This window comes from Homo sapiens, chromosome 4 (genome assembly GCF_000001405.40).
Source record: "Homo sapiens chromosome 4, GRCh38.p14 Primary Assembly".
Classification (NCBI taxonomy): Eukaryota; Metazoa; Chordata; class Mammalia; order Primates; family Hominidae; genus Homo; species Homo sapiens.
Window position 1 is genome coordinate 52,637,033 of NC_000004.12, and position 25,439 is coordinate 52,662,471.

Here is a 25,439-nt window from a genome sequence, read left to right on the forward strand (position 1 = left end):
CTCCTGGACTCAAGCAACCTGCCCACCTTGGCCTCCCAAAGTGCTGGGATAACAGGTATGAGCCACTGCACCCAGCCTCCTAATAAAATCTTAAGACTTGTCTCTACTTCCTTATCTCCAAATCACTCCTCGAAAAGCCCCTTCTGGGCTCTACCCTCACTTCATCACTGTTGAGCTTCAAATCTGGCAAACTCCATGGCACTTTTAGGTGGCTGGCTTTTTCCAAGGGCTGTCTGGGGCCCTCCACCCTCTCCCAGGCCCAGGCAGGAACCACTCACATGGCTTCAATCAGCTGCTACATGCCAACCATTTCCAACTCTTTCTCGGCAGCCTGGACACCTCATTTCTGAGCTCCAGGCTGAATGAATACTGGCAAATCCACTTACTTGTCTTACAGGATCTCAAAATCAATTTAACTAAAACTAGATTTTTCATTTATCTGGTGTTTCCCTGCTCAGAAAAGAACAATACCCTCCTCTTCTTGGCTCATGTCAAAAACCTATGGGTCATGCCGACATCGTCCTCTGCACTCTCTGCCCATCCATCACTGTCCTATTGCCTCACCCTCACTAAATCTCTCAATCTCATGTGCTTCTCTTTTACTCTACTGCCACCAGCTAGGCCAGACTACCAGATCTCTCATCTGAATTACAACCACATCCTGAATGGCTTCTACTGCCCACCTTACCTACCTCTAACCCCACTGTCAACGCTGCAAAAAGTGCTCTTTTAAAATATGAATCTGCTTAAAATCCTCCAGTGACCTTCACTGCTGTTTCCAACCTCATCTCCTGCCCCTCATCCCCTGTTCCAATGGCCCTCCTGCTGTTCTCCGGTACCTCAAATGCCCCCTGCTTACCATCTGAGTGCTCCTCCTTCCCTGCTTCTTCAGACGCCTGTGTCCCAGCATCCTGCAAGGCCAGCTTAAAGGTCAGCTCCCAGGAGAATTCTACACTGGCACCCCTAGGTTAAGTCAGCCTCTGTGACAGAGAGAATACTGCCCCTCCCAAAGGTGTCCAGGCCCTAATCCCTAGAACCCATGATGACGTTACCTTATGTGGCAAAAGGGACTTTGCAGATATGATTAAATAATTAAGAACCTTGAGATGGGGAGATTATCTTGGATTATCCCAGGAGACACAGTATAATTACAAGTGACTTCAAGAGAGGGAGGCAAGAAGGTCAGAATCAGTGACGGGACGTGACAACAGATGTAGAGGTCAGACGGAGAGACTGAAGATGCCATGCTGCTGGCCTTGAAGAGGGAAGAAGGAGCCATGAGCCAAGGGATGCAGGCAGCCTCTACAAACTAGAAAAGGCAAGGAAATAGATTCTCCCCTAGAGCCTCTGGAAGGTGTACAGCCCTGCTGCACCTGGATTTTAAGGCTTGTGACCTCCAGAACTGTAAGATAATATATTTTTGTCTTTTTAAGCTACTAAGTTTGTGGTAATTTTTACAGCAGCAATAGGAAAGTAATATACCCCGCCCCATGCTCTACTCCCCACTCATAGCATCCTGTATGTCTCCCTTATATATTCCAGTTATTATTTATATAATTATTAACATCTGTCCAATGCCCTAAATTATATATATAATATATATAATTTTATATATATATTTTTTTTATGAAAAAAATATATATATTACTCGTGGGAGCAAAGAATGTGTCTGACCTGCCCAATACTGCGTTCTCAGTGGCTAGCACATAGTAGCCCCACAATACCTGCTGCATGGACTGATGGCTGGATGAATGCATGCATGGACAGGGATGGGTAGGGCTGTCTGGGTAGCTTCCATGTGCATGATAATTTGGAAACATATGTTCGTGCTCTCCCTATGTACTGTTCAGTGAGGCATAAGCGGTACCCTTCACCACTTCCCCATTCTCCCTTCCCTTTTATAGACACATACTCTAAGAATTGGTTTCCATGGATACAGAATGTCACTGATATTGACATTTGGAACCAAACTCCTACTTCACATGCTAGCATTTTTCATTGGTAACGTGAATCTTTGTGCATCCTTAACAGACTTAGGGCTTAAATATGTTAAATGTAAATGTTTGCATAATAAAAGAACACAGACATGATGGGGAATGTTTCATGAGATCATGATGATAATTGCTTAAAGATAAATTAAGCAGTAGCATCAAAGTTTTAAATGACCATATCCTTCAACCCTGCAATTTGACTTTTTTTATTCTACTATATTTTCACAGAAGTGGAAAAAGAGATAAAGGCTGTAAAAAGACCCAAATAATGTAAGTGTGGATTAAACAAGATGAAAATTTATTTTTCTCTCATGTAAGTATGCAAGAGGATGCAGCGTGGGCCTGATACAGCTGCTCTGCAGTGTTGAGGACTCGGGGTCCTTTTATCTTGTTGCACTGTCATCCTCAAGAGCCAGTTTCCATCTTTGGAACCAATATGGCTACTCTAGCTCCTACCACCAAATGCCTTCTGCCAGGGGGAAGCAGAAAAAAAAATGGGAAAGGACTGATCCTCCTCTAGGATGCTCCTGGAAGCTGCACACATTACTTTTGCTCACAATCCTGCTAGCTAGAATCTAATCTAGTCATATGGCCACACCTAGCTGCAAGGGAGTTTGGCAAAGGTGGTCTTTACCTGGGCAGCCACGACCAGGTAAAATGTCTCTAGAAATGAAAAGTGAATTTTTTTTTTCAGACAGGTTCTCACTCTGTCGCCCAGGCTGGAGTGCAGTGGTGCTAACAGGGTTCACTGCAGCGTCAACCTTTCAGGCTCAAGTGATCCTCCCACCTCAGCCCCATGAGTAGCTGGTACTACAGGCATATGCTACCATGCCTGGGTTTTTTTTTTTTTTTTTTTTTTTGGTAGAGTCAGGGTCTTGCCATGTTGTCCAGGCTGGTCTCGAAATTCCTGGGCTCAAACAATCCTTTCCCCTTGACCTCCTAAAGTGCTGGGATTACTGGTGTGAGCCATTGTGCCTGGCTGAAAAATGGATACTGAGGGGACAATCAGTAGTCATATCCCTGCAGCAAGCTTTCTAACAGGAAAAAAAAAATGGGAGTAACTTGAATTGGGTAAATAATTATAGTAATTCATATGATGGAATACCATGTAGCTAATTTAAAAAGTAAAGTTACCCTACAGGTACTGCTATGAAAATTTGCCTAAGATACAATGATAAGTAAAAACATGTTACAGAGTAATAACGTGTTGCATAGGACAATACTGTAAATGTGGTTCATTCCATCAACAGACACTGAGCCCTGCGACGTGCCTGGCTCTATTCTACATCTGAGGGACACAAGGTGAACAAGACCAGGCCACTGTATTCAACATCTACATTTAATGGAAATTTTTGAAAGAAGACTTGAGAGATTATAACAGTGGTCTTCAGCATCAGGGAGTAGGCCTAGAAGAAGAGGAGGTCAAGAAGTGGCTTTTCTTATTATCTTCTTAACTCTTCAAATTTTTACTATGAGCAATTATTATTTTTTATTAAAATTTTAGGCCAGGCTTATGGCTGTAATCCTAGCAGTTTGGGAGGCCAAGGTGAGCGGATCACTTGAGGTTGGGAGTTCGAGACCAGCCTGACCAACATGGAGAAACTCTGTCTCTACTTAAAAAAAAAATACAAAATTAGCCAGGCATGGTGGCACATGCCTGTAGTCCCAGCTACTCAGGAGACTGAGGCAGGGGAATTGCCTGAACCTGGGAGACAGAGGTTGCAATGAGCCAAGATCACGCCACGGCACTCCAGCCTAAGCAATAAGAGCAAAACTCCATCTCAAAAAAAAAAAAAAAAATTAACAAATTTTTAAAAATATAATGAAAGTTTAGTAAACAAATGTCCTGCAAACCAGTTGCCTAAGGCCCTCGGCAAATACCTCAGAGCTGTATTTGGCCATTTTTTTTTTTTTACCACTATGAAATGCCTTTGATTTCAGTCACTTTACCTCTCTGTGGCCTTAACTTCCTGGCTGAGAGGCTGGGCTGTTGATATCCAGCCTGACTATTCCTCAGGGCAGCAGAGAGAATGAAGCAAAACTGGGAATGTTATCAGCACTGTATAAATTGTAAAGTATGTTACAAACCCAAGAGATTGCACTTCTATTGCTAGCACCCTGCACAAGACACAAAAGGCAATGAGGGGAACTGAAAAATAATTGTTATATGACCAGATGGTGAACAAAGTACCGATCTTGGGGGGTAAATCACAGGGTCGGGAAGCATAAGAAACATAGGGTTCTTATTTCCATCAGTAAAAAACGTAGTAACCTTTGAAAAACAGTGCAGCCAACTTTATTAAAAATAGCATCTGAGCTGGGACAAGTTCCAACAAGACTATAATGTTAGCTCCTCAAAGCACCTCTGAAAGCAATTCTATGACTGCCAAGGGGTGCTACCAAAACACAAACAACAATAACAAAATCCCAGGAAGGATGATTCATAAATGCATAAGACGGATAAAGAAAGAAATGTTTTGAAGCAATTTACAAGGAAAACAAGTTAGAATTTCTTCCTTGGTCGAGGGGTAAAGGATGAAGACGGCCTTGCCCAGAAGGAGGAAATAATCAAAACAATGGCATTAAAAGGTCTGGAAAAACCAATGAGAACACTGTCAAAATATGGAAGAGCCTAAAACAAAAACACAGGGACCAGGAAGCATCCTTGGAGAAGAGCCAGACCATGCCACAGATTAAAAAACGAAGGCCCAGAGAAGTAAACTTACTTGCCCAAGATCTTTCTAAGGCACCTCATTTATCTGCATCCTAGGACATGCAGCCTTTCTTTCAAGTTTGTACAAGGAAGGGACACAAGAAAGGCCAAAGATAACATGTAAGGATTTCTAAGTACATAGAGAATAAGTCATTAATTATAGACCATAAATTAAAGTGGATGACAGAAGAGGTGAACATTGCTGCTAAACCCACATTTGTAGATCTATCGTTCAAAAGGCTACTCTACTTATCAACTATACTTTCAAAGTACAAAGCACATAAAGGACCTATTTTCAAAAGGACTAGTGTCCCCAGAATTCTGATGACAAAGATCATTCCTATAGTCTTATGAAGAAAGTGAAGCAAAAATGAAGTGACTCAGCCCAAGATCTCAGGATGAGTCAGAAGACACCTGACAGAATTCAAGGGTGATTACAGAGGAATTATGGCTACCGATGCCTCTGATGTAATTAATAATAATAGAGAACTCATAAATAGCATAGACTGTGTACAGTTACTGTTCTAGGGATTTTACTTGTATTTCATTCATTTTCATCTTCATAATAACTCTATGAGGCAGACACTGCTACTGGCCTTATTTTAAAGATAAGAAAACTGAGAGGGCAGGGAACTATTCAAGTTCACACAGCTACTAAGTACTGGAATTGGGTTTGAACTTGAACAATCTGGCTCCAGTGTGTGTGCCCCTAACTACTACATAATATTGACTCTCAGGGAGGCAGAGTCTCCTTGGAACCACAGAACTGAAAGAACTGAAGAAACCGAAGAGGTCACAAAGTTGTTGGGAGAACCCCCTTCCTTCTGAAGCACCCCTTGAAATTTTCTAGAATGAGAACACACAAGTCCTTTTCCATGGAATCTCTACAGAGTACTGGCAACTTGTTTAGAGAAAACATAAAATTGAGGTTGGGAGTCAGAGGAGACATGAGATGTAGTTAAGAGGAAAGCAGATTTTTTTTCAAAATCACTTCAAAGACTGTGGACCTTTTATCTAGCCAAAGAATAAAAACAAATAATGTCAACTTTTAAAATGCTAAAAGAGAAAACCGTACCAAAAAGCAAATTTGAGTTCTAGAGAGTAAACCATTCTACACCTAATAATGAAATAATGTGCAATCTTTACTAAATACTTGGATAGATACTGACAATAATATAACAAAAACAATGGAAAAGGGAGAGAAAGAAAGTGCATATGCAGAACAAAATGTGTTAATATATTAATGTAGCTTATCTCTTGGTAACATAGCTTATCTCTTGGATTATTGCAGGGAGAGGGTAGGGGAGGAGAAAACTGGCGATGAATTAAATAGAGGAACGAAATTATTTATTTTAATCCAAAGAAAGCTGCAGAATATCTGTTATGCCTTTAAAAGATACGAACCCACAGACCAGCCTGGAGCACCCTCCATCTCCTCCTCTGGCTGCCTCTCCTCATCATTTGGTTTCAATGTCACTTCTTCAAAGCTACCTTCCCTGACCCTTCCCACTCATAGAATCCTGTCTGTTCCTCCACAGCCCTTAGCACAATCTGTAACATCATAATTGTAATTATTTAACAACTGTCTTCCCACTAGACCACAGGTCTGCAAATTACAGCCTATGGGCAGAATATGACCCACCAATTGTTGTCATAAATAAAGTTTTACTGCAACACAGCCATGATCATTCATTTACTTATGGCAACTACTTTCACAATATTAACAGCAGAATTGCGTAGCTGTGATAGAGACACTACGGCCCACAAAGTCTAAAGCATTTACTGTCCAGACATTTACAGAAAAGCTTACCAACCCCTGTACTATGCCATAAGCTTTATAAGGGCAGCAATTAGGTCTGATTCATTTGCCAGCACCTAGTAGAATGTCTGGTTGTATAGAAGGCACTTGATAAATTTGCTCACTGAATAAACTTGGGAAGCAGGGGAAAAGTTAGCAGTAGGTGCCACTCATTCAGAGAACTTCACATCTACATATTCATTTAATCTTGCCTGCCACCCCAAGGCAGATTACTCTTAATATCCCCATTCTACACATGAAAAAAATGTAGGGAACCTGCCCAAGCTCACTCAGCCAATAAGAGCAGATCTGGGATTCAAACCTATGTAAATTCGGTTCCTGAGTCTGAGCTCTGGACCACAAGCCAGGAGAGGAGATATTTTCATTCACATTTTCAGTAATTCTTTAGCTACAGATGTAAGGCTTGGGCAGCCAGCCAGGAACTGTCTCTGAGTATGTCCACTTTGGCTGCTGGCTGTCACACATTACCTAACCACCGGGCACTTACCCAGAGTGGCTACGAATGCCTGACCTGTTTAGTTAGCAACATATCACCACGGAGCCCCTGTCCCACTGAGCAATACTGAATGTGACTCTCTCTGCCAAATAAATCACTGATGGGGACTCATTATCCCCATGTCATAGCTGAAGGAAATGAGGTTAACTAACTTGCCAAGGTCAAGTGTTAGCATGAGGCAGAGGTAAGTGGTGAACCTATGATCTTAACACCATTATTCCACAACCCTGGCTCCTGTTTCAACAGCCCACTCCTCTCCAGGCTTCAACAGGGAAAGCAATCATGAACAAGAAGGCAGTCAAGGGGCATTTTCATCCCACAGCATGACAACATGTCACTTCTATGTCTTATGTCAGAAGTCCCCAACCCCCAGGTACAGTTCTGTGACCTGTTAGGAACCAAGCGGCACAGCAGGTGAGCAGGCATTACCACCTGAGCTCTACCTCCGGTCAGATCAGCAATAGCATTAGATTCTCATAGGAGAGTGAACTCTATTGTGAACTGCGCATCAGAGGGATCTAGGTTGCATACTCCTTCTGAGAGTCTAATGCCTGATAATCTGAGGTGGAACGTTCATCCCAAAACCATCCCCAGCTCTGCCCAGGTTTGTGGAAAAATTGTCTTCCACAAAACCTGTCCCTGGTGCCAAAAAGTTTGGGGACCGCTATCTTACATGATATTGAATTAAAAAAAAAAAAAAAAAAAAACCTCTGAAAAAAACCTTGGCCAGGCGCAGTGGCTCACGCCTGTAATCCCAGCACTTTGAGAGGCCGAGGTGGGTGGATCACGCGGTCAGGAGTTTGAGACCAGCCTAACCAATATGGTGACACCCCGTCTCTACTAAAAATACAAAAAATTAGCCGGGCGTGGTGGCACGCGCCTGTAAGCCAAGCTACTAAGGAGGCTGAGGCAGGAGAATTGCTTGAACCCAGGAGGTGGAGGTTGCAGTGAGCTGACATCGTGCCATTGCACTCCAGCCTGGGTGACAGAGAGGGACTCCATCTCAAAACAACAACAACAAAAATTAGCCGGACATGGTGGCATGCACCTATAATCCCATGTACTCGGGAGGCTGAGGCAGGAGAATAGCTTGAACCCGGGAGGCAGAAGTTGCAGTGAGCCGAGATCGCGCCACTGCACTCCAGCCTGTGAGGTGAAGACAGACTCTATCTCAAAAAAAAAAAAAAAAAAAGAAAACCTCAACATGACTTCATTTAATAATTGTACACAGAAGCCAAAACATCTGCCACTGAAGAAAGCTGACCTGGGATACTTGACTACATGACCATCCCAAGTCATTCTAGCAAGGAGCATTAAAGAACATCTAGAAAGAAGCTGTGGCTGGCAAAACAATTCTCCATATATTTAGAGATAACAAAATGAAGTCCTCATGCAAAACTAAAACTTCAAGTCAAAAGCAGAACAAAGAATCTTGAGACCATGCCTGTTTTCTAGCTGCAGGTGGAAGACAAGGAAATAGCCACTTATGTCACTGAACTCAGTGAGCTAGAAGCAAGAACCTCATTTCCAATTCAATCCTTCTACAAAGCCACCAAGATGCTGCCTGAATTATCATGTCCCCTAAGCTCCTACTTTACCCACAAATACACTTCCCATCTGTTCCCAGAAAGGCAGCAGAGGAGGCTGGGGTCCTTGCAAAATCCTAGGTCAAAGAGGCCTTGATATGGTTTGGCTCTGTGTCCCCACCCAAATCTCATCTAGAATTGTAATTCCCACAATTCTAGGGGCCTGGTGGGAGGTGATTGGATCATTGGGGCGGTCTTTCCCCTCGCTGTTCTCATGATAGTGAGTGAGTTCTCACAAGATCGGGTTGTTTGAAAGTGTGTGGCACTTTCCCTTTCTCTCTTGCTCTCTCCTGCTCCACCATGGTAAGATGTGCCTGCTTTCCCTACACCTTCTGCCATGATTTTAAGTTTCCTGAAGCCTCCCAGTCATGCTTCCTGTTAAGCCTTTGGAACTGTGAGTCAATTAAACCTCTTTTCTTCATAAATTACCCAGTCTCAGGTAGTTCTTTATAGCACTGTGAGAATGGACTAATATAGGCCTGCTCTGTAAATTTTATTAATAGGGTGATTTCATCCTCCCATCTTCTCATCCAAGCTCAAGGTCTTCATCAGTGAAAATCACAACACCTGCATTCCCACCTTACAGCATGGGGAGCACTGCAGGAGTCAACATGCCTCAATGCACTTGTGCGGCAACCCGGCCCTCGGGAACCAGTCCCTCCTGGGTCAGTATTGCACCATCAGAGATATTTTCCACTAATGTAACAAAACCATCCTGAAATGTGCTGATTATGAAATGTAAAATATAAAATTCTGGGCTCTCTCCTCCCATCCTCAAATAGAGTAGCAATGGGAGAAAAAACATGAGTAAGTTGTTCTTTACAGCAATGTTATTTACTCAAAACTCTCTGTGGTGAGCTACATCCAGAAACTAAAAACATGGAGATAAAATGAATGGATAGAGTAATTTTGTATCTGTCAAGTTTAGTAACAAAAAAATTAAGGCTTGCATTTTATTTCTCTTTGGGTTTTTTTAATTCCATTTTGCTAGTTATTCCTTTTTATTGTATTTTACAAATATATTGGTCTGAGACAGATTGAAAATAACAATAAAACTGGTCCTTCCCTACAGACTCTGAAAATAATTACCAACAGCAAGGTATTTAAATAAAATTGAGTTTATTTTCCTAAATATGTGAATAGCTGCTGAAGCTCACTTCTAATAAGAGAAATGCAAACTACAAATATACTAAGACACCATCTTTCCCCTGACTGGCAAAGATCAAAAGGTTTCTGGGTAGCACACTGCTTTGGCAAGGCTGCAGGCAGCCAGAGTCACACATATTGCTGATGGAGGGCAATTTGGCAAAATCCATCCCAGTTACAAATGCAAATCCATTTTTAGGAAGTCGGTCCACAGATATACTCCCACATATGGACAAAGTTGTTCCTTACAGCCTTGTTTGTAAAAACCGAAGACTAGAAAACTACCTACAACATGTCCTGCTAGTCAGTGAGGGCCTGGTTCAGTGAATTCAGTAGACTCAAGCAAGTGAATACTCTGCAGCCATAAAAAAAGAATGAGGTGGCTCTTCCCACAGACCCTCCTACAAGACACAAACAGCAAGGGGCAGATCAGGACAGATCAGGGTATACTCTATGTACTCTTTGTGTTTTTAAAAACTAAGAGAGAAATATAAACACAGTTGCTTGTATATGCATATAACTCTAAATGGAAGCATAAGAAACTATAACTATTGATAGATGCCAGAGATAAGAATTGGACACTGGGTCTATTTTCAACATACAACCTTGTGCACATTTTGAAATTTCTGCCACATAAACTCATAGTACCTATTCAGACACTTTACTTAAAAATTTAGAAAAGAAACTGCGCTTAGCTACTTCATGTATTTCTCAGTTAGGAAGGCTGTGTGTGCCAAATGACACAAAAGAGTGTGGTATAAGCTCATTCAAAGACAACATATCTTTTACTACAGAATGTGCTCTCATTCTCAGGAAAAGGAAAAACATTGTATCTTGACTAGTGACAACAAAAGCTTGGCCACACACCACCAGCATGTGTCTTCCAATGGCATTTTTGTCAGAAATCATAGCTTCTTCCTCCTTTTGTCCTGCAGCCCTTCCCTAGTTCTCCTTGACTGAAAACCATAGCTGGTTTATAACACACATGCTCGTCTTCTTGCCACTGCTCACCAGCAGGAGTGGTTCTTATTTTATAGACCCAGAGAGGCCTCAGTGACCTGCCCAACACCGCTAAAGCTGGAAAGCAATCAGAGCCTGGGATTTCTGAGTCCTAGCTCAGGGCTCTGTCTACTACAGTGTTTGGTGGACTCTTTCACTAATGGAAATAAGAAGGGCACTGGAAGAAAGTGGTAATGCAATGCCCAGGCAACAGGCTAAGCACTAGACATCAATCTCTCTGCTTAAGCCCCACAATGACCCAGGAAGGTAAGTTCTCTCATCACCCACAGGCTATGGATAAGAAGCATGTCTTTACAAGGGTAGAGAACATCAAGCTCTCATACCCAATCAACAGTGGTGTAGAAAGTCCAACCATATCTCAGCCATGTGCTCACTTGCCTCCCAAGGAAGCTCACCGACCAGACCATCATCTACAAAGTAGTTCAACAAATGGTGCTCCTCCAAGAGCCGATTATTTGAGCCACTACAAAAAACCTCTTATCTGAGCCAATGTCACCCAAACTATGGGCCATGAATCCTGGAGGGAGGGGAGTTACTCTTAGGTGGCACCAGTATGAACAGTTTTAAGTGTAGCAATAATGTTTTTGAAAAGGATTAGAAAAGCATAAAATTAGCTCATCAAACCCATCATTTTGCAGATGTTTCAGAATAAGGTCAAATTAGGGTGAACAGATTTAAGGAAAACTAAGTAAATAAGTTCAAGTGATACACAGATGTAGCAAAAACCATGAACAATGATGACAAACTGACATTTGAGTATCACTGACCTAAGCAACTGGATCCATCCCACAGTTTTTCTCTAGAGTAAGAAAAGCTTGGAAATAATAGGTTATCCACCCCTACACTGCCAACCATACAATATGCATTCGTTCTGAATGTTATTTTTTATTTATTTATTTGTATTTGCCTTCTCTCCATTACTACATTACCCTCTGATTCATGAGGCAGGGAAACCCAGTTCCTGAAGCATACTGAAACTCTGCATTTAAATAGGAGTGTCCTATGGTAGCTTAACCTTAGAGGGACCTACCTCTAGTTTGCCCTGAATAGCTCAGATTACACCTACAGATCAATTAATATTTTATAATTACTCTGAGCATTCTTTTCTCTTTGAAAAGTATCTGACTTGGGAACCCAATTAGACAGTTTCCTGTTGTCCTGTCATCCACTACAGCAATGATTAGAAGAGTCCTGTGGGCCTCTCTCTACCCGTGTCTCCCAATACCACAGAAACAGGGCCACAGGGCCCCCTCACCACCACAGCACCCAGTCAGAACCAAACCATGCTGTGAATTTGGCCTCTGCTTTTGCCAACTTCCTTCCCCAATGTCACTCCTCCCAAAGTGCCCCACTAAATGTGGACAGCAGGTCAAAATGGAAGTAGAATTTCACTGGATCCTGAAATACCAACAGCTTTGCACTTTGAGCAAACAGAAGGAAAATAATGATGAACTAAAAGAGTGAGAATAATTATGAAAACTAACAAGCATGAAGGCATCATAGCTCACACAGTGCTTCCATGGGCAGGATCTCTTCTGATGCTCCCCAAAAAGCTTTAAAGAAGGTATTTCATTGACTACCTTTGTTGTAAAAAGATAAATAGGATCTGAGATTTACCAAACAGGATTCTGAATTCCAAACTCCTCCACTTTACAACTATATGGAAAATAGAAGTTGTTTTGTTTTTCCCAAAGCCTTGCTGCTCTAAAAATGGTCCCGAAACCAGCATTATCTGTACCACCAGAGAGTTTGTTAGAAGTGCAAAATCTCCGCCCTGCCCCAGACGTGCTGAATCCAAATTGACATTTCAACTAGACCTCCAGCTAATGCCTATGCATGATAAAATTGGAGGCATACTGCTTTACTCCAAGGCAATTCTTCCATTCTACCAAATTACATCCCTTCATTCATTTATCAATATTTATTTATTGAGCACCAACCACATATGTGCTAGGCACTGTGCTGACAGCTGGGAAATCAACACTGAATAATACAAATAAATACAGTTCCTGCCCTCATAGAGTTGTCAGTCTAACATGGTGGTTTATCAACCTTGGATGCTCACATCGGAATCAACTGTGGCACTTAAAATACACACACACACATACACACGCAGGTGCCTAAAATTCACCCCAGACTACCTATATCTACATACTGTCAGAAACGCTGGAGACTGGGACCCTAGAAACTGCATGTCAATAAAGCTCCAATTGGTGGAACCACTTTGGAGAGCAATTTGACACACCTAGCAAAGCTGCAGATGGGCGCATCCTAAAAGCAGCATATTGACTTCCAGGATTATACCCTAAAGAAATGAAGACACCTGAGCAAAGAAGACAGAAGCAAGAACATTCGCTGCAACACTGTTTCCAGAGAGAATATTGTAGAAACTACCAAACTGCCCCTAAATAAGAGAATGAATAAGTAAACCATGGTTAAGTCAAAGAATCCTGTTACAGAGCAGTCAGAATGAATAAACTCGACCTCTATGTGTTGACATAATCTCAAATATACTTGTTGAGTAAAGAAAGACAGTTGCAAAAAGCTACACGATTTTATCCACACACAAACGTTGCAATCCATTGCTTATGAATTCATAAATACAAAGTAAAGTATAAGACATGTTTGGTAAACACCATATCAACTTCAGGAAAATGGTTTGCTCTGGGAGGAAGAGAAAGGAAAGAGATTGGGTTGAGTTAGTGTCTGTTTTTAAGGTAAAAGAGTCTAAAAAGAGTTAGTGCTGTTTTTACAGTAATATGTCTAAAAATAAAAGTAACCAAATATGGCTACATTTTAATATCTGTTAAATCTGAAGGGTAGGTAAACATATATAACATTATTTTTTCATGCTTTTTTGTATGTTAATGTTTTGTGATTTAATTATTATTTTTAAAATTTCTTTTAAAAGCTTCACAGGTGATATGATATAAAGCCAGTGCTGAAAATCTCTGTTCTGAATATATAAACTAATACAAAACCTGGCTATTTAATACCAAGAAAAAGTTAAGTTGGCCGGGTGCAGTGGCTCACGCCTGTAATCCCAGTACTTTGGGAGGCCAAGGTGGGCGGATCACGAGGTCAAGAGATCAAGACCATCCCAGGCAACATGGTGAAACCCTGTCTCTACTAAAAATACAAAATTAGCTGGGCAAGGGGGCACGTGCCTGTAGTACCCTACTCAGGAGGCTGAGGCAGGAGAATCGCTTGAACCTGGAAGCAGAGGTTGCAGTGAGCTGAGATCATGCCACTGTACTCCAGCCTGGCAACAGAGTGAGACTCCATCTCAAAAAAAAAAAAAAAAAAGAAAGAAAGAGAAAAAAGAACAGAAAAAGTTAAGTTACTAGCTTAAATAATTTTACATTCATTTTTTTAAAAACTTTCACATGGCAGGTAATTTCTTAAGCAATATTTTTTAAGAGGCTGAGGTTATTACCCAAGGGAAGCAATATTTCTCCAAGCATGGTCCTCAGCTCACCTATAACAGAATGTGGAGGGAGTAGAAGGAGGAGGGAACACTAATTTAAAAGGCAGATTCCAGAGCCCCAACTAAGACCTACTTAATCAAACTCTCTGGGTGTTGAACCCCAGAGTCTAAATTTTTAATAAGAGAATGCACATGTGGGAACCATTCTTTGGTACACCAAAGAACCTAAAACCATACATTTCTTTGTTTAATGAGGTAATACTCATCATACTCTGAAAATTAAAATGAAGTGTAGAGAATACTTTCTAAATATTTAAGACAGTAATTCCACCAGTATATATTCAAGCAGATCCAGATAAAAATTTTCCTGCACTGTGTACCTAACCTGAAGGACAGAGAAATGTATTTTAGGAAGATGACCATCGTTTCACAATGCCTTTCTAAAAGAACTTGAAAAAGCAACTGGGTAAACAGGAAAACTCTGCAAGTCCAGCTTTGCTGCTGTTCTCACCAGAACAGGCCCCAGACACGATTTTCACTAAAGCCAATGTCAATTAAACAAAGCAAATGTGGCTTGAACAAGGCCTTGCTGGCACAGGCAGGTCTCCCAAATTTACTCTCAAAATTCAAGGTATCTTCTCAGTGCTACTCTATTATCTTTTTGTTACTAGTTTTCACCCCTCCACAGTGATTATCTTGTCATCATTTTTTTCACCTGCATCTTCCAATCCATCCCTACCTTTCATGACTTTTGCTTTGGTCTCCTTGATTTTCCTCTTCACTGTCCCTTCTTCATTGTCCCTGTTTTCAGACAAAACCAAAACTACAATCCTGACTTTCAAGACCTGGAAAACTGTTCTCAGGCCCCTGAGTTGAAAACAAACCAGCATAACAAACACATGAAAAGATGTTCAACCTCCCCTAGCAAACAGGAAAAGTGCAAATTTTAAACCACAAAGGCACAATGTCACACCCATCAGACTGGCAAAACATCAAGTCTAGCAATATCAAATATCTGCAAACATGTGAAGCAACTGGAACCCCCAAACGCTGCTTGGTTGGAATGCAAATTGGCATAACTTCTTTGGAGAGCAATCAGGCAACTTATTAAAGAAGACGATCAAATTCCTTTGACCCAGCAATTCCCTTCCAGGTTTACACCACAGAGAAACTGTCAACTGTCAACTGTGTATACTATACACAGGGAGATGAGTTCACAACTGTTCATTGCATTAAAACAGCACACTCACAAATTTGTAAACCTGCTTACAACATTAAAATGAATGTGTCATAGCATATTTATATAATGGAATGTTATACAGCAGTTAAAATAAACTAGGATTATGTGTCTCTCAATGGATAAATAGCAAAATCACAATTTAAACAATAAAAGCAAACTGAGAGGAATGTTTAATATTATAAAGCATGTTTAAAACATGAAAAAATACACTATATCTAGTTTATGAATGCATACAAATCTAGTAAAAATATAAAAATATACAATAAACACTAAATGCAGAATAGTGGTCACTCTGTGGGGAGAGGCAATGAGATCAGGAAGGACTCATAGGTGGTTTTAAATGTATATATAGTATTTTATTTCTTCACTGGGTGGGGAGTACACGAGTATTCACTCTATTATTCCACATTTCTGTATGTCTAAAATTCACCATCACTCAGAAAAAAAGGCAAAGTCTGAGCTAATTTAAAAAGTATCTGAGGGTTCTAAAAGTGACATTGGAACTTGAGGAAGAAAAGGAAGGTTGGCCCTATGAGGGTAAAGTGAAGCTTTGGCGACCACAGAGTCCCATCACCATGATCTTAAAACTATCCATTGCAAAGAATCATTCTGAGAATTGGGGTAAACTTCCATGTACAGCACTTACAGCATCCCTCAAACTTCAAGCCATAGTCCCAGAAGAGAAATATTCCAAAAACCCTTTACTGTTAGGGTTGTTCGCTAACACAGAGTTCGTCTCAAGAATGTTTTCGTGGCAGGGCACAGTGGTTCACACCTATAATCCTAGCACTTTGAGAGGCTGAGGCGGGCGGATCACCTGAGGTCAGGAGTTTGAGACCAGCCTGGCCAACATGGTGAAACCCTATCTCTACTAAAAATGCAAAATTAGCCAGGCATGGTAGCAGGCAACTGTAATCCCAGCTGCTCAGGAGATTGAGGCAGGAGAATCACTTGAATCCAGGAGGCAGAGGTTGCAGTGAAGCCATCGCACTCCAGCCTGGGCAACAAGAACAAAACTCTATCTCAAAAAAAAAAAAAAAAAAAAAAAAGATTTTGCTGATTGATTTTTGGGTGGCCTTTTCTCTTAAAGACCACCAAGGCCTTTCAAACCCTTAGATCAGCATTTGGTTCCACCACAACTGAAGGTTTGTTATAAGAAGCTGCATTAAAATAATTAGACCAGAAAAGTTAACTAGACTAAAAGACACCATCTTTTACATCTCTTCCAGTTAGTTAGCTTTGGGTGGCTTCATGGGTAAGCTAGAGATAGAGATAGGTGGTTACCAAATACCTTTCTGATGATACCACAGAATTTAATACCATCATGGAACCCCAATCTATTCACACTAACTAGAAAGACCAGGAGGGGGAAAAAAAAGACATCTGAGCTAGAGAAATTTCTCTTAATTGCTAAGAGAATCAAAATTGAAAATGCCTTTCAATTATAACCCAAACATACCAAAATTCCACTTAGTGAAGAATAAATAAACAGATTTTATGGTATGAGTGAACTGAAGCACATAAAGTTGTTATACAGAAAAGGTATCATAATCTTTCATTCTAACTAAATACCAGCATTCAACTTTGTTTTCTCTGAGGAGTCCAAGAAAAACAGAAAAATCCGCAGAACTAATTGTCAGGTCCCGACCTAATATAAACCTCTGCATATGAGACCAGTGGGGCCAGAAAAACAGAATTTCTTTTCTTTAAACATTAATCCACCTCACCTCAGACTGTATTTTCTAATCCCAGCAACTATCAGAGTAGACCCTCATATGACTTTACACCTAGCTGATATATTAACTAAACTTATAATTGCCAACTATCTTTGAGAATGGAAAGCATGAATAACAGTAACAGAGGAAAAGGCAAGATATCTGTTCCCCCAAATCACAAGATGGACATATTTTTTAATAATTAAAAAGTTGTTTCCAACCATTCTCAAAATACTTGCCTTAGGTAAGTAGTTGACTTATCAAGATAAAACTATAAAAATACTCTAGTTTTGTTTCAAAATTGTAATGTTTACTTTCCCTTTATTTCCAGATAACTTCATTTATTTATATGATACATTTTTATTTACATGATTTTGTTTGTTTCTTTTTGGTAGAGATTGGGTCTCACTATGTTGCCTAGGCTGATCTTGAATTCCTGGGCTCAAAGAATCCTCTTGCCTCGGCCTCCCAAAGTACTGGTATTACCAGTGAGCCACCATGCCCAGCCTACCTCATTTATTTAAAAGAACTAAAATCTGGCACTCAAACTGATGTCAAAAATTATCCTGAGGCTGTTCTACAGACGCTAAAATGCTAACATGTCATAAGTTCAATACAGTTTTAAACAAGGTAGTTAGGTAATGAAGTGGTTGCTAACCAATTAAGAGGTGCAGATTTTCATAAAGCCTTTATCTAAGGAATTCTACCATGAAGTTTTTCATGACCAAAAACAGAAAATCAGTTTTACAAGATGAGAAAAACTAAGGTCTCCGGAAATACAACAGTTTGCCCAAAAGCACCATTAGATTCATGCTTAACTGGAGAGACACCCAATGGTGCAGATTTCAATTCTAACTCACATTGACTACAATCATGTCCTCATATAAAATAAAAGCCAGAAGCAGAATGTGTATACAACTTTGGTCAAACGAGAATGTATTTTTGAAATGTCCTGTTGTGTTAATCGGTCTTTCCACTGTACAGCTGCTGGGAGTTTATTCAACTTCTATCTGTGCTGATATAACACTGTATTGAAATTGTTTCATCTTTACCAATGTTAACACCCACAAGATAAGGAACAGCTGAGCCCCTTGGGGACAGGGACTCACCTCATTCATTTATTAAGCACTTGAGTATAGTCTGTGCCAACACCAACATAGCAGGTCCTCAACAGATGGCCATTTATCGGAACAAAACTCGTAATCATTTGATACACAGCATTTTCTCAGAGGTACATCTTACAGCATTATTAACAAATGAAATAAGATTAGATGATCTGAAGCAACTTGCATTGGTATGTCACATTTGGTTTCTTCTAACTAATGCTTCCTTTTTAGAAAATTTCTCAAGCTCTTCAAATAGGAAACTTAAAAAACCCAAAAACAAAAACTTTCCATTTGCAGGGCCATAAAAATATATAGGAAGTTAAATCCATTGGTCTGGACAAAAATCAGAGGATTATCAACAGAAGACATTTCCTCATGCTTGGTAGCAGCTAGTGCATTATGAAAATTACAACACACCAGCCAAACAAGCTTTACTATCTCTGAACCACACACTGCTGTGTGGCCAAGCTGCCTTGCCCTGAGCAAGTTCATCAAGAATTACCATGGCAGGAATTCACATGGAAGAAAAATTAAAACAAATAGAAACTAGTACTAAACTTCCAGTGAACAATAAAACTTCAGCAAGTGGGTGGGTAAGTGGAGGAATGAAGATATTTTCCAAGTTTCCTATAACTAAAACTGGCACAAGAAGTATGGGGAAAAGAGGGGATGTTTAGTTCTCAATCACACGAAGTATCTGCTACAAATTTGATTTCTGCTCTGCTGGGTCCTTTCTTATCTGGTGGAGGAAACAAATCCACTTTCAATGATAGATCTTCGTTTTTTCCTGTTACCCAGAAAAATGGTACCTTCTAATATCCTTTCTGAACACATATCAGCCTGTTCAAAATATGTTAAACGATGTGCTTAAGAAAAAAATGCAATCACCATTTGCTCTTACTACAACTACTCAAACCAGCTGGGACCAAAGTTAGGAGCGGGAAGGGTCAGTAAGAGGCCCACAGAGGAGCTAAGCAGTGAGAAGGGACCTGTAAGACACCTACCTGAAAACAATTCATTATTGAGCAAAGAATCTAAAGAGAGGTCCAGTTAATATTTACGTCTGATCCAGTGAAAAGACAGCAGTTTCCTCATACCCAGCCTTCTCCTCTGGGAAGGAAGACTGGGAGGGACAGTGGGGGCGGTGGGTGGGGGATTGACCTGAGCAGGGGGCGGGGTTAAGGATTCCCACTCCAGCCTTCCTATACATGGGAGGTGTTTATATTAGTGGTTGCTTCCACCAGGTCTGAAATGGCATGATCTCCACTGTCCCTTAAACACCTGGTAGATGACATAACAATGAGAAAGATGATGTTGACAATGACACTCACTGAGTTCTAGCCATGTACCAGGCCCTGTGCCCGAGTAATACAACAATATTAACATCACCTTTTGGTAGATAAGGAAAGTCTAAGACCGGACAACTTGTTCAAGGACACAAAGCCAACATGTGTTAGAACCAGGACCTGCCGGGTATGGTGGCTCACGGCAGTAATTTGGCGCTTCGGGAGGCTGAGGTGGGAGGACCACTTGAGCCCAGGTATTAGGGACCAGCCTGGGCAACATAGGGAGACCCAGTCTCTATGGAAAATTTAAAAATTAGCCAGGCATGGTGGCACGTGCCTGTAGTCCCAGCTACTCAGAAGGCAGAGGTGGGAGAATCACTTGAGCCTGGGAAGTGGAGGCTGCAGTGAGCCACCATGTTCATGCCACTGCACTCCAGCCTGGGTGACAGTGTGAGACCTTGTCAAAAAAAAAAAAAAAAAAAAAAAGAACCAGGACCTGAACCCAGGAAGTCTGACATTAGAACCCAAACTCTGTCACTCTCTAGACATGGCGTCTAAATACAACATCAGACTCCTTACTTAATGAATTACTGGTTCCTCACTTCATCTGGGTGATGGTCCTAAATTTGGTACCTTTTTAGGTCTCCACCTGAGATGTCAACTCTCAGGGCAGTATTGGCCTGCTCCTCTCAGGTCCTCCCCACACCCTGTCTCCCTGACTGAGTTTCACTGAAACACGTTGTGACATTCAGCCCAGGTGTGCCAGAAAGCCCCCGCAGCACTGAGGGTGGGTGGGGGGACGCGTGGGGGGAGGTTGGGGGCTGGCTTCCTCTAGGGGCATGCTAGCTCTCAAGTTTCCAGCCTGCTTCTACACAGAGAGGTGTAACCACACACAAGCAGGACAAGAACACCACCAAGGGCTGGGTCGGAGCCTCACTACCCTGTAGTATCCTTAGGCCTGCGGCCACACCAACAGACATAAAAGAGTATTCAAGCTGCTCCCGATTCACAGTTCCCTCAGGAACTGGTCGTAGGAGAGAAACTGAGAAGGCATCACCTCTTCACAAGCAGCCCCTCCACAGGAATAAGAGGAAATCTGACTCCTCGCAGAGAAAGGAAAAAAAGAGAAAACAGAAAGGCTCTAGGATCCACTCCCCGTATGGAACTCGCCCGGCACCAACCAGTACCTGTGCAGCTATCACTCTGGGAGGCCCCAGCATTTGCTTTGCTGGCCGTGACAGTGGCACGTCCCATTGTGCTGAAAGCTGAAGCCAGCGGGTCTCAATTCCACCCCTGAGCTAACACAAGGCTTCTTAATGCTCCTTTGCCATGTGTTGATCTTGCAACAGAATGTGGGACAGAAGATTTAAAAAGCTATGTGATGGGGGAAGGGCAGCCAGATCACCTTACACCAGGGCTTCTCCATCAAGCTTCCTTGGATTCCCTTTAGGGGCCAGTATTACTAGCTTCAAGGGAGGTTTTCCTCAAACTGGCACTGTAAGAGCACGTGTTGCCTCCGGGGACCCGCTTGGGAGGGGGCTAGAGGGGAGGCGGGGTGCAGTCTAAAGAATGTAGGCAAAACACACATCATCTCACCCTGCAAGGGACAGCAATGCCTTACTCCAATCTGAGCTCCCCAAAGGCTCTGACAAGTGGAGGCGCCAGCAGGGTCCAGCCTGGGGACCCAAGGGCTGGAGGTTCTTCCTACAGAAAAAGGGAAAGCAATGGGGGAAACCCAAATTAAAGTGACCACCGCATCATGGGCTCGGACTGCATCAGAACCCAGTGATGTCCCTGGCTGTATCCATGCCCGCCAGCCTCCCCTAGGTCTACAGCGGATCAGGCAGGATAACCCTGGAGACCTCCTCCAAGCCCACAGCCCGCCCCACCCTTAGGGCCTGCAAATATTACCGCCACAGAGCCTTGTCCCTTTTTCACAGATGGGGAAACTGAGGCATGCGGAGCAAATTACGGTGCTTTTTCAAACCAGGTTGAAGTTCACTTCTCCAGCCACAATTTTGCACTTTTTTTACAGCTTTATTACATTTCCGATTTCTCCAGATACACAATTGCTATTGCAAAGTGAATTTTAAACACCTCGGAAGGACTGAACTCAAAATGAGATGAGGGCAGTCTGGACGTCCAATAAGGCTGTCTTGACCGCAAGAAGAGGATGGGTGCCCCCCACCTCCAGCTTATCCCCCACCCCCTCCCCGGGGACGTTCAGGTTCGGTCGCTTCCCTTCCCTCAAGCCGCTTCCACCGCAACCCGAGGGCGGGGGGCGCAGCAGCGCGGCCCCGGGATCGCCGGGCGGGTTCCGAGGTCCCGGGGCTGAGACGGGCGCCGGGGGCTCGGGGACCCTCCCCGGCCGCTGAGGTGGCTGCGGCCGCGCGCCCAGCTCGGGGGCCGGGAACTTCTGGCGGCGCGGACCCCGCCGCCCCCGCCGCCCCAGCCACCGGGCGTGTGTGCAGCTCGGGCTTCCCTTTCTTTGCCTCGCCGCGAGTCGGGCGCGACCCCGAGGCGGCTCGGCCACTCACCATATTACAGATGGAGGCGATGTTTCGGACAGTCATTAGTCTAAAGGTTGCAGCGATCCCTCACCGCCATCTTTACAAGGGGAAACCGGGACTGCCCATGGTGGCGCGCTGGCGGGGAGGCCGGGCGGCAGCGCGGCGGCCTGGGGTCCGGCTTTCAGTTTGGCTGGGAGAGGGAGGCCGGGAGGAGGAGGCGGCGGCGCGGGGAGGGCGGGGAGGGAGCGCGGAGGGGCGGGGAGTGGCGGAGCGAGGGAGCCTGGGCCGCGGCCGGCGGCGCGGGGAGGAGGGGCGGCCCGGGCGCGCCGCGTGAGTCCGAGCCGGCCGCTCAGAGCGCTCCAGGCTGGGTTCCCGGGCCCCGCCGCGCCGCCTCCTTCCCAGCTCGCCCGCCCAGGCCTGGCCTCCTGCTTTTCCATTTGATTCCCTGCCTCTTTCTATTCGGACTGGAATGCCGGGCCAGGCTCCGGGGCGCGCCGCTGCGGCAGCCGCACCTCGCAGGTCCCCCGGCCGACCCCGACGCGGAAGCGGCGGCCCTCCTCGCCGTCGGGGAGCCAGGGAGCCGGGGACGGTACGGTGCGCGGGGTGGGGAAGCGGGCGGCCCAGGCCGGGGCGAACCCGGGGCCGCCTTCCGTCCTCGCTTTTTCCTCGTCGCCTTCCTCCTGGCGGGCCTCGGCAGCCCCCGGTGTTTATTTTTTGGCGAGGGGTAGGGGTGGCGACGTCCAACTTTTAGTTCCTCCCGAGGGTTCCAACCAGATGGCACCGGCGGGGACCCAAGAAGTAAAATGGGGCGAGGACACCGGAGCGGTCAGAGAGCCCTCGCCAGCTGCGGGCCGGGCGCCCGAGAAAGGGCGCCGGGAAGGGGGAGGAATCCGGGTCTGGGCGGAGGCCAGCAGCGGCGCGCTCGGGCGGCTTGTGACATTAGCGGGTCCAAAGGAGACGTCCCGGTTCCGCGCAAGCACTAGGGACTGTCCAAGGAGTGGAAAGAACGAAAACAAAACTTTTCCATATCTTCAAGGCAGGCATACCCCTCTCGGGTGCACCCAGCCTCTAGTTGTTGAGATGGGCGCTGTATGGGATCATGCACATTTCCCGCATTAAAGGTCGTGGCTGCGGGCTCAGAGCGCGAGTCTGTGCACCACTTAGCAGATAGGTCCACGCGAATTGAAGGGGCCCGTTTCTGAATGTGTGGAACAGTTACACATACAAGGTTGCAATTCGATGCTTTCAAAGGAGAAATTGTACAAGTGAGATGCGTGATAAATTCTTAGATCAGTGTATTTAATGACAAATTGAATCAGAAGAAAAATTAGTTGAAGATAGCTTTTATCTAACCAAGAGTAAAGATTTGAGAGCCGTTGATTGCTAATATCCCTAGAATCTGGGGAGGAAACAGTAAGACAGACTTGTTGACTGAAGGTTTTGGGAGTCATGTCACTGTGTTTTCCAGTGGACATGAGAAATAATATTCCTGCTTAAGTCTTTCAACCTAAATATTATTTCCAAATACATCCTGATGATAATTTCTTCCATTGTAAGTCATGACTGATTTTCTTCTCTCTCTCTCTGTTTTTTAAGAGACAGGTTCTCGCTATGTTGCCCAGCCTGAGGCTGGGCAGCCCCGAGTCATCCCAAACTCCTGGGCTCCAGCAATCATCCCACCTTGGCCTCCCAAAGCGCTGGGACAACAGGCGTGAACCACTGCACCCAATGTTTACATTCCTGATCTCCTTTAATCGCCACCATAACTATCAGCTGGTACATGCTATTATCTCCTTTTTTGCAGATCAGTCACATAAGGCTTAGAGGATCAAGGATCCTGCCCAGATGACTTACCGAAATGTTACAGATTAAGTTGGTGTGGTAACCTGGGCTGAGCACTCTGGGAGAGGAAGAGAAGAGAGAAGACAGGAAACAACTGAACTATGACCAATCCCAGCACGGAGGCCCAGAAAACTTTAAGATTTGAGTATTAATGTCTCAAGGTCAGGAGCAACCTCAAGGCTAAAACTCAGATCTCAGGACTCAATTTCACAGAAGTTCCACTATAAAGGCAATAATCTAAAGCTTTAAATGATATGAAAATTTTGTAATAAGAGTTCAGTATTTCTGCCAACATTGGCGCATGGATTGCAAAGTTCACAGGATTGAAAACACCATCGACATAATGGAAATTGAACAGCATCTGATTACTGAGTGCTATATCAGCAAGTTAAAAGGATCTTTTGCATACCTTTTAATGGTATATATCCTAAAACTGAAGTGTTCAATATAGACATCCAGATTGAAACTCAGGCAGTGAATTACATACACAACAAATCAGTTGAACATGGCAGAGCTTGTCAGACTTATGAAAGATTAAATACATTTTACATTTCCACAAGTGTGGTATTCACAGGTCTAAATTGGAAAATTCTTGGGTTGAAGAAGAATAATCATAATCTTAGCTTCACTCATTGAGGAAACATTATTCAGGGATGATAAGAGGTAAAATCTTAAAAATATTGACAAGCTAATGAGAGAACTTTGAGGTAAGCTGATATGCAGGTATAGTTAGGACTGGGAAAAGCAAGAAAATGGAAGGATGGGTTAGAGGGTGGCACTACACGGCTGATATAGTTTGGATATCTGTCCCCATCCAAATCTCATGTTAAATTGGAATCCCCAATTCTGGAGGCAGAGCTAGAAGGCAGAGCCTGGTGGAAGGTGTTTGCAACATGAGGAAGGATCCCTCATGGCTTGGTGCTGTCTTAACAATAATGAGTGAGTTCTCCCGAGATCTAGTCATTTAAAAGGGTGTGGCACCTCCCCCCCCCCCCGCCCCCGCCAACTCTCTCTTGCTCCTACTCTGCCATATGAATGTTTGTTCCCCCTTTGCCTTCAGCCATGATTAGAAGCTTCATTAGGACTCCTCAGAAGTAGATGTTGGTGCCATACTTCCTGTATAGCCTGTAGTACCATGAACCTCTTCGCTTTATAAATTACCTGGTCTTGGGGATTTCTTTATAGCAATGCAAGAATGACCTAATACAGAAAACTGGTACTGAGAAGTGAGTCATTGCTGTAGAGATACCTGAAAATGTGGAAGCAGCTTTGGAACTTGGTGACAGGCAGAAGTTGGAAGAGTTTGTAGGGCTCAGAAGAAGACAGAAAGATGAGGGAAAGTTTGGAATTTCTTAGGGACTGGTTAAATGGTTGTGACCAAAATGCTGATAGCTAGGACATGAACAGAATGCACCCAAGCACTTTGCTAAGGCAAAACATGCGTGACCTTTGCTCTAGTTCCCAATAATTTCCTTATTTCCATTCGAGACCTCAGAAGCCTGGACTTCAAACCAAAATGCTGATAGTGATGTGAACAGTGAA

General features: G+C 43.5%; 1 protein-coding gene and 1 long non-coding RNA gene across 6 annotated transcripts in view, besides 5 other annotated features; one reads left to right on the top strand and one right to left on the bottom strand.

Moving 5' to 3' along the window:
• USP46 (ubiquitin specific peptidase 46) overlaps positions 1-22,269 on the bottom strand; it is a 68,342-nt gene extending 46,073 nt beyond the window's left edge. For 2 of the 5 annotated variants that reach the window (NM_001286767.2, NM_022832.4), the window contains exon 1: positions 22,083-22,269. In NM_001286767.2, the coding sequence (NP_001273696.1) occupies positions 22,083-22,118 (36 nt within the window). In that variant the 5' untranslated portion in view covers positions 22,119-22,269. Of the gene's footprint in view, positions 1-19,263; positions 19,508-21,141; positions 21,250-22,082 lie in introns of those variants that run through there. The other 3 variants (NM_001286768.2, XM_047416088.1, NM_001134223.2) reach the window with 3 other exon arrangements.
• Positions 2,574-2,804: a silencer, noted in NCBI's record as "fragment chr4:53505773-53506003 (GRCh37/hg19 assembly coordinates)". NCBI's record gives its function as "represses an EF-1alpha promoter that drives an FKBP-Casp9 reporter gene in an ReSE screen in K562 erythroleukemia cells {active_cell/tissue: K562}" and the evidence as "EXISTENCE:reporter gene assay evidence [ECO:0000049][PMID:32094911]".
• Positions 4,912-4,981: an enhancer, noted in NCBI's record as "active region_21554". NCBI's record gives its function as "activates an Ori minimal core promoter by ATAC-STARR-seq in GM12878 lymphoblastoid cells {active_cell/tissue: GM12878}" and the evidence as "EXISTENCE:reporter gene assay evidence [ECO:0000049][PMID:35858748]".
• Positions 4,992-5,181: an enhancer, noted in NCBI's record as "active region_21555". NCBI's record gives its function as "activates an Ori minimal core promoter by ATAC-STARR-seq in GM12878 lymphoblastoid cells {active_cell/tissue: GM12878}" and the evidence as "EXISTENCE:reporter gene assay evidence [ECO:0000049][PMID:35858748]".
• Positions 21,723-22,242: a silencer, noted in NCBI's record as "silent region_15423". NCBI's record gives its function as "represses an Ori minimal core promoter by ATAC-STARR-seq in GM12878 lymphoblastoid cells {active_cell/tissue: GM12878}" and the evidence as "EXISTENCE:reporter gene assay evidence [ECO:0000049][PMID:35858748]".
• Positions 22,253-22,682: a silencer, noted in NCBI's record as "silent region_15424". NCBI's record gives its function as "represses an Ori minimal core promoter by ATAC-STARR-seq in GM12878 lymphoblastoid cells {active_cell/tissue: GM12878}" and the evidence as "EXISTENCE:reporter gene assay evidence [ECO:0000049][PMID:35858748]".
• Positions 22,374-24,466, top strand: USP46-DT (USP46 divergent transcript). Its single transcript, NR_125363.1, has 2 exons — positions 22,374-22,644; positions 23,860-24,466. It is a non-coding gene; the product is annotated as a USP46 divergent transcript (long non-coding RNA).
• Positions 24,467-25,439: the final 973 nt, after the last annotated feature.